The 15,058-nt window shown below is 36.1% G+C and overlaps 1 protein-coding gene and 1 non-coding gene across 6 annotated transcripts in view, besides 1 other annotated feature; both read right to left on the bottom strand.

Annotated features, from left to right (window-relative positions):
- The window catches only part of PRKG1 (protein kinase cGMP-dependent 1), a 1,307,463-nt gene that overhangs the window by 989,568 nt on the left and 302,837 nt on the right, over nucleotides 1-15,058 (bottom strand). The gene's annotated exons all lie outside the window — the stretch shown is intronic.
- Nucleotides 1,565-2,066: an enhancer, noted in NCBI's record as "NANOG hESC enhancer chr10:53066477-53066978 (GRCh37/hg19 assembly coordinates)". NCBI's record gives its function as "activates a minimal SCP1, AML or CMV promoter by ChIP-STARR-seq in primed H9 embryonic stem cells {active_cell/tissue: H9 hESC(primed)}" and the evidence as "EXISTENCE:reporter gene assay evidence [ECO:0000049][PMID:30033119]".
- On the bottom strand, nucleotides 9,128-9,210 carry MIR605 (microRNA 605). Its single transcript, NR_030336.1, has one exon. It is a non-coding gene; the product is annotated as a microRNA 605 (primary transcript).

Here is a 15,058-nt window from a genome sequence, read left to right as displayed (position 1 = left end):
TTCCCTTTAATTTACCCTAAATGTGCAATTGCTTCTTGCAGTTATTGGCTCTGTGTTATTCTAGTATTATTTTTCTAGCACCTCTCCTCAACCTACTTGAACAATTTCTATATTAAATCACTTCTGATAAAATATCTCACATGATCTAGTTTCCTTGCCACACACTGACTACTGATTGTTAGGGACCAGTGAGAAGGCTAATGTAATAGCCCTGCTATTACCTTGCTCAGGAAAAAGGCAACAAACCTCTGAAATCAAGAGATGAGAATAAGAATGAAAGGATATTAACAATAACATCAGCTAACTGCTTACTGAGCAATAGGCCCATGTGCTTTTTATGAAATATGTAATTTAATCATTGCAAAATCCCTGCAATGTAGTTAGTATCAATAGGCCTATTAACATACAAGGAAACTGAAATATAAAGAAGTTAAATGGCTTGTGCATGATCACCAGAGACTAAATAGTGAAACAGGCAGAGACCTGTTTCTAGCTAAGCAAAAAGTCAACACTTTAAGCACCTCTGTACTTAACCAGTTTCCCTGCCACCACAATTACTCACAGAAATTACAAGTAATCTATATAAAGTAATGTAATAAAGCGAAAAAATGGTACAGGAGTGCAAGGGAAAGGAATTCATTTTGACAAGTTCTGAGATGTAGCAAAGCTCCATGGGATAAGTTAGCACATACATATTTAATGTACCTTAGGTACTTGAATTCCCAGTTGTTAATTGTTTCATTTTCTTATTTGGTTTTCAAATTACTTTTATTTGATTTAAGAGGGAAATAAACTAAAAGGTGGAGCTCAATAGACATAATCTACATTTGTGTTTACTGAATACCTGAATTTTGACAACCAAAAACTTGGTGAAACAAAATGAGATAAAATAGACTTTCTTTCTCAGGGAATCTCTTCTTTCCTTGAGGCTATATTAATCTGCTCTTAATACACAGAAAAATTAAGTTCTTAAAATTATTTAGAGTACCTCAAAAGTATAGCATAAAACTTTATAAAAGATGGACAAATATAAATAATATAGAATATATTTCAGTCTCTGGTGTTTTATGTTCATCAGAGCTATTTCAAAAATTAACTGTCATAAAGTACATAGAATATTTGGTCTAATGCTTATTGCCTCTACTCGGGACAGCCTCTACTTTACATATTTAAATAAAAGGTGAGTAAACTCAGAGACCAGGAACTCAAAAATAAACATGAACTTGAGGAAAATGCAAGTTACATGTGAAATATTGAAGCACCATTCTACTAGAAAAAAGAACTCCACTTTTCACCACCACGATCAGAAATAAGCAAAGGAGAGTCAATAAAACAGAGTGTTTAGTAGCAAACGTTCTGGAAAAGATCATCTTGGAGTCAAATCCTGGTGCCACCACTGATTGCATTACCTTGGGCAAGTTACTTAACCTCCACAGTCTTCTCAGCTTCTTTTTCTACAAAATTAAGATAATAATACTTTTCTATGTTGAAAAGCTAAGGGCAGTATCTGGAACATGGTAAACACTCAATAAATGTAAACTCTCATTTTACCTGGAAAACAGGAGGTATAAAGGGATTGTGTGTATGCATGTGCATAAATATATCTGTGTAGTAGTTATGCATTATATTAATAATATATAATATATTAACACTGTATAATAATGCATTATCATTAAGTATCGAATTCTTATACAAACTGCAAGTTTGTTGATATTTCTCTAACTCAGGAAGGGGGCAACTGATACTCAGAATCCAGGAGAAACAGTCTGCTCCCCATTTTCACACTTCTGAAATGTGTAAGGCAGCAGGTGGAAGATGGTACAGCAGACAAAAGAACCCTTGAGTGGGAGCCATTAGACTCCATGACTTCAAACAAATCCCTTTGAACTTTCTAAGTTGAAGTTTCTTCAATGGATAAATGGAGATATTCTCAACTTCCTTAGAGGAGTTTTGAGGGATTTAGTAAAATCACATAACTTTTGGCAATGTAAGTAAATGAACTTTGCAAAATACTCTGTAAGCTCCTTTTATAATTTCTGCTAATATTGTCTTCAATGGGATGAGTTGGTCGTGAATCCTGCCTCCTCAGAGAAGAACGATGAGACTAAGTCTCCTTTACTAGATGTTGTCCATGGAGAGCAAAGCACAAACTTCTTTCCTGGACGGCTGAATTAATCCAGACATTGAAAACATCCAGACATTGAACATATACTCCTGAGAGAGAGAAAGCCGATTAGCATCTCTCACAGGAAAAGGCATTCAGAATGGACATGTTTATTTTCTCTGCCTCCCCTCCAACATACACATATCAACTATGGAAACTCCCAGAACTACACAGGGGTACAACCAAGGCCATACTGGGTAAAAGCCTGGCTTTATATGGAAAGTTGAAGAGGGAAATATGCATATCAATCTCAAATAGGTGATTTTCAAGCCCAAATCTCACTCTTGAATTCTGATATGCAACTTGTCATTCTCGCCTGTGAAACCAAAATTTCAAAAAGAAGCCCCAAATGTAAGTCAACTATGAAATTTGGGTACAAATGCCATATTCTCTCTGCAATATACTCTCAAGCCTATCCAGTGTAATGGAATGAAAAGAAAGCAGACTTTGACTCAGACCAAACTTAATTTCAATCCAGGTTCTGTTACTGTGAGGCCCTAAATAAGTCACTAAATCATCCTTGCTGTAGCATTGTCTTCAGTAAAATAATGGTCATATAATGTCTACTTTCCAGAGCTATTCCAAGAATTAACTGTCATATGGTACACATAATATTTGCCTTAGTGTCTATTGCATCTACTCAGGACTGCCTCCAAGAAGTGATGACCTGAGGCTTCCAATAGTCAGACAGAAATTGAACATATTCAACCTCTTATTCCTCTGTGGTGTGTGATAGTTATTCTGATTACAAAAGCCCTCCATATCAGGAACGTGATATTAATTCACAAGATATGTGCTTAGCAAGTCAAATTCTCTAGGAAGAAAATGATATTTTTATCCAGAAAAACATAAAACAAAGCAAAATGTTACACTTTTGAACAGTCAAAACAATTGCTCCAGAAAGCTGGAGCAGAGGAAAAAGGAATCCTATTTTGGTGTTCACATGGCTATAAGGAAGACGCTGAAATCAGCACATTCTCCTGAGTGCATGGACCACTCAAGGTATAGAACATTCTGTTCATGCTGCCCTAAAGGCCAATTGAAAGGCTTCTGCAAGGTAAACAGGTCTTAGAAAGTTTTTGTTTTTGAGGATTTTTCTGGAAAAAGTTATTTATTTACTTATTATTTGGAGAGAGGCACCCTTTCCAGTAAAGTGGTCTCTTGTAAATTAGCCCTTTAACAAATGCATCTACCAGTCACCCCCAACAGCTTTTCTGTGCAGGAAGCCAACAAAAAGGAAAGTTAGTAAGTCAAGCCACAAAAGTATACATATAATTCAAGGGCATTTCTGAAAATGTATAAAGCAGGATAGGAGGCCTATCCTTAAAGGTTACTGTTCTTTTTCTAAAATGAAAATTTTGGTGGTGGGAGAAGAGTGCCATTGTGCTCTGAAACTCTACTTTTGGAAGAACTAGGGTAGCAGTCTCATAGCTATTGCCCTAAAATTGAAGGGCTATCTTTCCAGGGGTGATTATGCTCCTATAGGATGCAAGCTCAGTCCTGTGACTCACTCCATCCCCAGACCTTCAGTAAGGCTCTGGAAAATAGGATCTGTCCAACTGACAAGTTACCAGTTGATCAGAGCTGCTGAATGCACCATGACAAAGTCTTCATTTTCTAGCAGCACATAGAAAGAATGGCCTTGCTGATTCTGGCCCTGGGTTGAAGCACTAGCTCTGCTCTCTCTACCCCTTACAAGTAATGTGACGTAAGGAAGTGACAAACTTCTGGTCCCCCATTTCTTCATCTGTAAGATATGTGGCACATATACACCATGGAATACTATGCAGCCATAAAAAATGATGATTTCATGTCCTTTGTAGGGACATGGATGAAATTGGAAATCATCATTCTCAGTAAACTATTGCAAGGACGAAAAACCAAACACCGCATGTTCTCACTCATAGGTGGGAATTGAACAATGAGAACACATGGACACAGGAAGGGGAACATCACACTCTGGGGACTGTTGTGGGGTGGGGGGAGGGGGGAGGGATAGCATTAGGAGATATACCTAATGCTAAATGATGAGTTAATGGGTACAGCACAGCAGCATGGCACATGTATACATATGTAACTAACCTGCACATTGTGCACATGTACCCTAAAACTTAAAGTATAATAATAATAAAATAAAAAAATAAAAATAAATAAAGTGTCTCTGGGTCTTATCAGAAAGTCCAATCCCTAGTATATGATTAAAATAGATTTTACATCATCCTTTGATATTCAACTTAATTATTACATCAGTTGTTCACATGATTTTTCCTTAGAGATATTTGATTCTATGTAATGTTTTCAAATTGATTTTTTAATATTACGTGACTATATGATATTTACTATATCAAGGTATCTCTACGCATCTTTTCTAACTAATTTTCAAGTGCTTACACTGATTTATTTTTATTAGTGTATTTCTCTTAATGTTTTTCTTCCAAAGAAAATTCTGATTTGGACCACTGAAACCCAATGATCATTTACAATGTTTTAAAATATTTTGTCCGGGCACGGTGGCTCATGTCTGTAATCCCAGCACTTTGGGAGGCCGAGGTGGGCAGATCACCTGGTGTCAGGAGTTCAAGAACAGCCTGGCCAACATGACGAAACCCCATCTCTACTAAAAAAACCAAAATTAACTGGGCATGGTGGTGGGTGCCTGTAATCCCAGCTATTTGGGAGGCCGAGGAAGGAGAATTGCTTGAACCTGGGGGTGGAGGTTGCGGTGAGCTGAGATCACACCACTGCGCTCCAGCCTGGGTTACAGAGTGAGACTCTGTCTCAAATATGTATGTGTGTGTGTGTGTGTATATATATATAGATATAGTTTTATTTTAAAATTGAAAAATAGTTTGTGATATCTTAAAGAGAATTAAATTCTAAAGATATGTTTTATTTAGTTTTTCTGTTAGAAAAATGCAATAACACTGGAGACAAAAATTAAATTTAATATTATTATCTTCTCCAAAAAGTAAGAATGTATTTATACTTTCACTGTTTATATTAAAAAGCAAATAAGATCCATCATGCCCAGTAAGACGAGAATTTTTAAATAAATATCCAGCGAAGTTTTCTAGGTTAGCAGTAATTGCTAATCATTGAGTTGAAAGAGTAAAAGAGGCTGATCAGTTTTCCATCAAGCAGAGACAAGGGGCATTTCTCACAAATAAGACATGGTTTTGGCAGATGTCACTGACAGCGCACACATGAGGCCATCTTAAACTGAATAGGCCTGTTTGATGATTGCTGTGAAGACTAGCAGTGAACATTTAACTCTTAGAAAATCTTGAGATTTAAATAAAGTGGTAGTGCCATGTAAAACATATTGTATTATTCATATTAAAAGAATTAAAGCAAACATTGCACGGAAACTTGGGAAGTCCTTGAGAGAAAAGAATAGAGGAGGATGTATCTTCCTAAAATTTTAATGTTGGACAGAGAATGGTATTTTGTTAATATCTTACATTTATGTCCCTTGTGGAATAGCTTTCTCTGGGTATATTCTTGACTGCCCCATATTTGCAAACAGACCAATCTTAACCAGTTTTCAAACCAATCTTAACCCGGTTGAAACAGCATCCATTCCCTGGGGCTTACTTTATTCCCTTCTTTCCCTGGTTGGAATTAATCTCTCTATCCTATAAAGGGCCAAAATACTCTTGCAAGAAGCTCCACCGCACAGGCTGTGTGACCTTGGGTGAAATACTTAACTTCTCTGAACTTTAACTGTAAAATAGAGTTTCAAGTTCCCTATTTTAAAAAGGAGGATAATAATAGTACCTTCTTTATAGACTTACTATAGTGATTAAATGAGGTCATATGTACAGCATATGCTCCATAATCTTTTCCTGCTTGGAAGACAGCCTGTCCATTGTGAGTGCTGGATAGGTGTTTGTTAGGTAATGAAATAAAGTACATCTCAAATGTTACTCACTGTCTTTATCCTCTCTTGTAGCCTGGAAGCTTTTCCCAGCTAAAGACAATATCTTCAAACCCCCATATTTAGTAAACTATTCCTGGTTTTGGTAGCAGTTATAAATATCTGCTCGTTAAAAAAAAAAAAAAGTGATGTTTTGCTACCAATGAGTCATTTAAAAATATTGGCCTGAAAGAACCAACATTGAAGATATTCATATTTTTTCATACTTTCCTAGGCTATTATTAGGTCTCAATTACATCATCAGTGCTTATGACACACCATAGGCACTTAATAAACAGGTGCCAAGTGAATAAAATCTAGTGAGCAAATAACTCTTTATCTCAAATTACTAAAATGAATAATATTTTACAGGGAATAATTCTGTTTCTACATTATCACGTTTACTAAAAATGTTTGTCAAGTAGATGTTATATACAATTTGAATAAAAGTTTTTAAACGTCTCTGGAAGACATGCTTATAAGGCCCTACATTAATTAACGTACCAGTCAATCAACAGGTGTCAATTAAACCCCTAGTAGTGCTCCTCAATGTGCTAATGGCGGAGTGTATTTCAAAAGAAGTATAAGATACATCCTCAGTGGATTTACAGACTAAATGGAACAAGGACATAGCTAACACTGTGGTTCCAAACCATTTGATCAGCACTCTGAGTGAAGTAGCTTGAGAGAGGTCAGAGCACCAGGAACTGGACTAGTTAAGGTCACGTCTTAGAAGAGGCTGATACATGGGAAGAATTCACACAGATGACACATGAGAAGAGAAGGCAGTCACACACTCATCCTGATACCTCACGGCTCATACTGCTTTGCTCATACTCAACACACTAAACTGAACTGAACTCCTCTGACTGCAAAACCAATAGCCAGGAAGCCAAACCTGCAATGTCCAGTGGCAGCCGGGGAGGCTCAGGAGACAGGATCAATTACAACAGGGCTTCTTACGGGAAAGTGGTCCCCACACTGGTGATTCAGCTCACATGCCCACAGACTGACTGGGCCAGCTTGGCTTCCATTGACTGCCATCCCTCGCCTGGCTCTCCTGACTGCACCCTGACCTATTCCCAATCCTTTGGTCTTTCTTTTTTGGATAGATTACTATGGATTTCTGTTGCTCCATTTGACTTAAACATTAGTTTCCAAATAAAATATAAGCCAATTCTCTGCACATTTTGAAGTGGCTCACTCAAGGCTGTAATGTTTAAAAATTGATATTCCTCAGAGGGTTTTGTATATTTTTTCCCCTACTTCAGAAATAATTAGGGGAGTTATATTAAACAGGTCTAAAAGAAGGTACCTTTCTTTTAGGCATTTTTTTTCCCTCTCATTCCCCAAACATTCCATTACTATTTTATCCCTTCTGAGCCTAGCCAGAAACTTGGCCTCCTTTGACTCCCAAACATACCAAGTTATTAAAAATACCCTTCAGCCAATATTAAGGAAGGGTCAGTAAAATGAACTCAGCATGGGGCTTAAGCAGAGCACAATGATTTCTTTGACTTAGTGAAGGAAATGAATGAGGATGATTTTGGACGGCCAGTTTCTTTCACTAATCTGTTGCTGGACTCTATCAGACATGAATGTTTCTCCCTGTCAGATTTCCTAATATTTCTCCATTGTGCTGTCACCGACATGAGAGTTAACTGGCATGAGAAGAGCTCATCTCACTCAAAAAAAAAGTCAACATTCCACAGAAAGTTATGGGACCTTCAGTTAGTATTAAGAGGAAAGTGAAATTAGAAGCTTAGCACTCACAAGATTTATACAGGAAAAGAAAGGCAGACACACTATTTTCAGGCTGCTGCTAATTAAGTCTTATTTGGATTGGAGCCTTCTGAAAGGAATCAACACATCAGGAATGGGTAAGCTAACAGGGAGGAGACAGCTGCTGAATATAATTCTGGAGAGAGCAGCCCTGCTGCTTAGATCTCAGATAACACAGAGGTTCAGTGTGTAATTGACTATGGAACAAGAAGAACATTGTTTTGTAAAAGAAGGTACCATTGCTGGGGTCCACAGAAACAGTTATGGTTCTTACCTCTGAAGGAGAACTGTGTTTAACTGTGGCTTTTAGATTTAACTTACTAAATTTGTATTTGCTGCAAAAGTAAACCACACTCAAGAGTAAAGCAAAATTCATCAGCAAGGCTATAATTTTGCAGAGAGAAATAAGAAGGGTGTATAATATTTAAATCGGAACTCAGCATCCCAGCAAAGAGCTTCTTAATCAAAACAAAAGAGAAAAAATCATTAAATACAGTAACCCACTGAGATTCACATGAAGGTATGTCCCACAACTTTCATAAATCCCGAATTTATGATACCACTATAATATACTATTACTCCACAAGAAGTAGATGTGAATAACACCCAAGGATTACTGTGTATGATACAGAAAACCAAAGAGAAGAAAAGCTGCATGGAGAGCAGCTGCTCTGACTGTGTGTGCAGTGCCTCATTCACCAACACACAATTCAAATTCAAGCCTCAGCAAAATAACTTGTCGTAAGCCATGATCCTCTATAAGGTCATCTTCAAATAGACGAAATAGTGACATTTAATTCATAAAGACAAGGTTCTACTCTCTTGCTGAGCAAGTAATCCAATCAACTGTGGTTTAGTTTCATCAACTTTGGAGAAAAGGCAATTTTCTTTCAAGATTTGACACCCTTCATACCCTCTGCCTATAATTCCAGATGGTAGGTGTAGGTGGTAGAAATGTTAGGTTGAGCAGAATGATAGTACCTAAAGAAGAATGAATAGTACCAGGAAATGCATGACTCATGGCATTCTAATTTTCTTGAAGTTCTTTTGTACATTTGCATCAAGATTTTCCACAAAATTCAATCCTGACTTTAATTGTAAATTAAAGAGTCCTTTATTGAATTTCTATTATTGCAGAGCAGTTACGCCACATGAGGTATAATAGAAGCTTATAATGTCATTGAGAGGCCAGGAAAAAACACATGTGCAGAGAGCAATATACCTGTGGCTGTCAGCCTGTAACATAGGTAACCTGTATCTGCAGTCCTAACTTGATTCTAAATCTCATAGTGCCTTCTCTGTTTTTCCCAAGGAGAAGGCACCATGGGATTTAGAACCAAGCTAGGGCTAGAGACATATGTTACAGGCTGTGAAAGTTCTACCAAAGTTCCTACTTTAAAGAATGAGCAAAAAGAGGCGGGGCATGGTGGCTCACACCTGCAATCTCAGCACTCTGGGAGGCCGAGGTGGGTGGATCACCTGAGATCAGGAGTTCAAGACCAGCCTGGCCAACATGGTGAAACCCCATCTCTACTAAAATTACAAAACTTAGCCAGGCATGGTGGAGGATGCCTGTAATCCTACCTATTCAGGAGGCTGAGGAAGGAGAATTGCTTGAACCCAGGAGGCGGAGGTTGCAGTGAGCCGAGATCGTACCACTGCACTCTAGCCTGGGTAACACAGTGAGACTCCATCTCAAAAAACATATAAAAATAAATACAGATAAAAAGAATGGGCAAAAAGAGATACTGGCTAAAGTCTTAAGCAATAAATTCATCAAAGGCAAAAAGACAGGTAAGTGTGTGTGGCTTTAAGGAACCATTAACTGAACCATTTTATTGGAGCAAAGGGCTCATTTAAAGGCATGAGTGAAAATGACAGATGGAGTAATGGTCATATTCCTTTCATTATTACACTTTAGACAACAAACCTTTGTGCTCCATTGCACTTAAATACCAGGAAAACACTTACCAAAGAACAATATTAACACATTTATGCAACCATATGATCTTTGCATACAGATCACAGCAATCAAGCTTCCAACCTTTTGTTGCATGCCTACTATGTGCCAGGAATTGTCCTAGCACTTCCCTTCCAATTCCCTATCCTATTTAATCGCTTCACATTCTACCACTCACACAAATTGTAGATTTATTTTACTCTCAGCCCACATAAAATACTCCAACCTAACAATTTTTAATTCTATCGGCATGATATTCTTTCATCCATCTAATGTTTCTACCTTAGATCAGAACCATTTCATATTTCAATTCCTACATTACCCCCTAGACTCCAGGCTTATAGTTTTATAAAATAAGATTGTAAAATAAAAACCCATCTTCTCCCTTCCTCCAGAAAAGGAGAGAAGTAAGTGTGTAATAGCTAACATTTATAATGATTTTACTATGCTGAGTGCTTTCTACATAAAGCTGTTTCATTTAATGGCTCAGCAACACTGTTGAAAAAGGAAGAACCTGGAGTATGGAAAGACTGAACAACTCCCACCAGGTTCATGTAATCAGTAATTGGTGGAGCTGGAATTTTTAATCAGGTCCAACTCAGAACCTAAATCTTTTAAGATCACAAGCTTAGTCATAATATTCAATTCAGTGCCTTTTCTTTGCCTATAAAATAAACCACATTTTTTGAAGTAGTGGCAATGTAACTCTTGAATTAGATTGTGTGGGTTCAGATTTCAAATGTATCATTTGCCACCTGTGCAAATTTGGACATCATAATTAATATCCCTAATCATGAATTTATCATCTATAAAATGGATAATATTAGTTTCTTTACACACCATTGTTATAAGGTTAGGAGATAATTCATGTAAAATGTATACAGGGCCTAATATAGTAAGTGCTTAACAAGAACTGATGAAGGAATAATGGTTAGGTACATAAATGAATGAGTGAATGAATTTCCTTTACATACATCTCTTTATATAAATATATCACTTATAGTAACAAGTGTAGGTAAGGACACCTACTCTATCCCTCATTGTTAGGGTTAAGAACTGCTTGCATTATTTTTTAGGAAAAGCCATTAAATGCCTTATACTAAAGAGAAAATAATGGGAGGCATTATCGTAATCATTATCATCATGATTTCATCAAAACTGATGAAAACCTATTACATGTAAGATATCAAGGTTAAAAAAGAGACATATGGCAAAGATGCCATCTTAAAACCTACATAGTAATGCAGTATGTGTAGATTGATCAGTGAATAATTAGATTGTACAACTGCAGTGGAACAAAAGTTCTACCATTCCTGTTGCTCATACATAGAAATGCACATGAGTCACCTACAAGCTTCCTGATTTGCTTTTGCTTTCTCCCCAGCTATTACCCAAACCTAAAAGTATGATTTTTACAAGTTAATAATTTTCTTTTAAGAGGTGTTGTCAAAGTTTCCTCTCAATCCTAATTTAAGGTAAGTATAAAATTATAATATGAAAATCCAAGAATTCACGTTTTAAAAGGAAAAAAGATAAACCAGTAGCAAAGAGCTGGTAACAGATGGCGACTTAGCAGTTAAAGCAGCATTTTTATTATATTCCAGATAGTAAAGTTTTTCTATGACTCTACTGTTCAAATGAACACCCACAGGTTCACCATCTAGAAGTGGTATGTCCCCTAACTTTAGAGAACAAGTTGATTCACAGAGTTCAATACCCTCAAGGTCATTTACTTTCTCTAAATGTCTACCCTCCCCACAACATGCCCTTTTTCCCCCTATTACAAATCAACCAATCTTACAGCTCGCAGAACAGAATTCACTGAATCTTAAAATAATACTATCATATTATTGCCAGGGAAGATGAACTGTGGCTTTTCTCCACTTTTGGACTCAATGCTTTGCATTTATTGTTTCCTTTTATGACCAGTCAGTCCTAGAAGCCAAGGTTAAAACAGAGGAATATCCTCCCAAAAGGAATGAAATAACCCCTTCACTGTTCACTCTGTTATATTTATTCAAGTTAAGAGATCTTAAATAAAGAGGGAAAGAATAGACAAAGGTAAAGCTAAAAAGCAGACTAAAGAAAACATGGAAAAGCAGAGGCGGCAATGTAACTAGGTTTAATTTCAGAGCAAATGAAAACAAAAATACAACATAAATGCCTACACTAGGAAAGAACATTCTCAAATAAGCAACATGACTTTACACCTCAAGGAACTAGAAAAAGAGGAAGAAACTAAACCTAAAATTATCAGAAGGAAGGAATTAATAAAGATTAGAGAAGTAAATCAAATAAGAAACAGACAACAATAAAAAAATCCATAAACAAGAGTTGATTTTTTGAAAGCATCAACAAAATCAACAAACTCAGCTAGGCTAATAAGAAAAAATGGAGAAGACTCAAATAAATAAAATCAGAAATCAAAGAGAAGATATTACAATGGATGCCTCAGAAATGAAAAGTATCATTAGGGACTATTGTGAACAATTATATGCTGACAAACTGGATAACCTAAAGGAAATAAATAAATTTCTACAAATATGCAACTTATTGAAGCTGAATCAAGAAGAAATAGGATAGTGTAGACAAACTGCACAAGGAAGACATTTATTTCAGTCCGTAATCAAAAGTGTCTCAAAAAAGAAAAGCTCAGGATGAGATGACTTCTCATCTGGTGAATTCTAATAGACAATCAAAGAAGAACTGATAACAATCCTTCTTTAACTCTTCCAAAAAAATAAAATAGGAGGAATCACTTCCAGACTCATCTTATGAGGCCAGGACCATCCTGATCAAAACCAGACAAAGATACAACAAGAAAAGGAAACTAAAAGCAAATATTCCTGATAAATACTGATGCAAAAATCCTCAATAAAATACTAGCAAACAGCATTCAACAGAACATTAAAAGGATCATACACCGTGACCAAGTGGTATTTATCCCTGGGGTGTAAAGATGGCTCAACATAAGGAAATCAATCAACGTGATACACCACACTAACAGAATGAAGGCCAAAAACAATATGATCATCTCAATAGATTCAGAAAAAGCATTTGACAAAGTTCATCATTCTTTCATGATAAAAACTCTCAACAAAATAGGTATAGAAGGAAATTGTTTAAACACAATACAGGCCATACATGAAAAGCCCACAGCTAACATAATAATCATTGAGGAAAACTGAAAGTTTTTCTTTAATTTCTGGTATAAGATATGGATGTCCATTCTCACTACATCTATTCAACACAGTACTGGAAGTCCTAGCCAGAACAATTAGACAATTAGACAAAAAAGAAAAGAAAAGAAAAGAAGAGGAAAGGAAAGGAAATCGGAATAGAATGCATCTAATTAGGAAGGGAAGAAATAAGCTTATCTCTGTTTGCAGATGACATGATCATATATGTAGAAAACTCTATAGACTACAAAAAAAGAAAAAAAATGTTAGAACTAATAAAACAATTCAGTGAAGTTTCAGGGTATAAAATTAGTATACAAAATAAGTCATGTTCTATACACAAACAACAAACTATCTAAAAGGAAAATTAAGAAAACAATCCCATTCATAATAGTAACAAAAAGAATAAAATACTTAGGATGAACTTAAGAGGCAAAAGACTTACACACTGGAAATTATAAAATATTGATGAAGAAAATTTAAAAAGACACAGACAAATGGAAAGACATACATGGTTATGGATTGTAAGAATTAAAATTATTAAAATGTCCATACTACCCACAATAATCTACAGATTTGGTGTAATAGCTATTAAAATCCCAGTGGCATTATTTGCAAAAGTAGAAAAAAATACTAAAATTCATATGGAACCATAAAAGACCTTCAATAGCCAAAGCAATCCTTTTTTTTTTCCTCTTAGAGACAGGGTCTTGCACTGCTGCCCAGGCTGGAGTGCAGTGGCACAATCATAGCTCACTGCAGCCTCAAACTCCTGGGCTCAAGCAATCCTCCCCCCTCAGTCTCCCAAGTAGCTGGGACTACAGGCAAGTGCCACCATACCCAGGAAATTTTTTTATGTTTCAAATTTTTTTGAAGAGACAGAGTTTTGTTATGTTGCCCAAGCTGGTCTCAAACTCCTTGCCTCAAGTGATCCTCCTGTCTCAGCCTCTAAAGTGATGGGATTACTGGAGTAAGCCACTGTGCCTGGCCTCTCAAAGCAATATTGAACAAGAAGAACAAAGGGGAAGGTATCACACTTTCTGATTTAAATATATCTTACAAAGCTATAATAATCAAAACAGTATAGTAGTGGCATAAAAATAGACATATTGACCAATGGAACAGAAAGAGCCCAGAAGTATTAGTTTAGTGCAAAAGTAATTGTGGTATTCCCATTACTTTAAATTACACTAATTAACATTAAAAGTAATGGCAAAACCACAATTACTATTGCACCAACCTAACGAATCCACCCATTACCATCAACTGATCTTTAACAGTGTTCCAAGAACACACACTGGGGAAAGGATGGTCTCCTAAATAAATTATGTTGGGAAAACAGTATGTCCAACCACAGAAGAATGAAATTGAACTCAACTTATACCACATACAAAAATCAACTCAAAATGAACTAAAGACTTAAGCATAAGGCCTGAAACCATAAAACTACTAGAAGAAAACATAAGAAACAAGCTTCTTGAAATTAATTTGGATCATGATATTTTTGGATATGATACCAAAGCACAAGAAAAAAAGTAATAATATACAAGTGAGAATGCATCAAATTAAAAAGCTCATGAAGAGCAACGACAACAATCAATAGAATAAAAAGTCAACCTATAATGGGAGAAAATATTGGCAATCTATATACCTGATAAGGAATTAATATCCAAAATACATAAGAACTCATACAACTCAATAAGTAAAAAAAGAAACTCTATTAAAACTTAGGTAAAAGGTATGAATAGACAGTTCTCAACAGAAGACATAAAAATGTCCAACAGCCATATGAAAAAATGCTCAACATCACTGACCATCAGGAAAATCCAAATCAAAACCACAATGAGATATGAGCTCACACCTCTTGGAATGATTATTATCAAAAAGACAGAAATGTTGGTGAGGTTGTGAAGAAAACGGAACTCTTATACAGAATGGAACTTTTGTTGGTGGGAATGTAAACTGGTATAGCCATTGTGAAAAACAGCATGGAAGTTCCTCAGAAAGGTAAAAACAGAACTATGATTCAGCAATCCCACTTCTAGGTATCCCCCACC

This window comes from Homo sapiens, chromosome 10 (genome assembly GCF_000001405.40).
Source record: "Homo sapiens chromosome 10, GRCh38.p14 Primary Assembly".
In the NCBI taxonomy this organism is placed as follows: Eukaryota; Metazoa; Chordata; class Mammalia; order Primates; family Hominidae; genus Homo; species Homo sapiens.
This window is presented reverse-complemented; position numbering and strand designations above follow the sequence as displayed.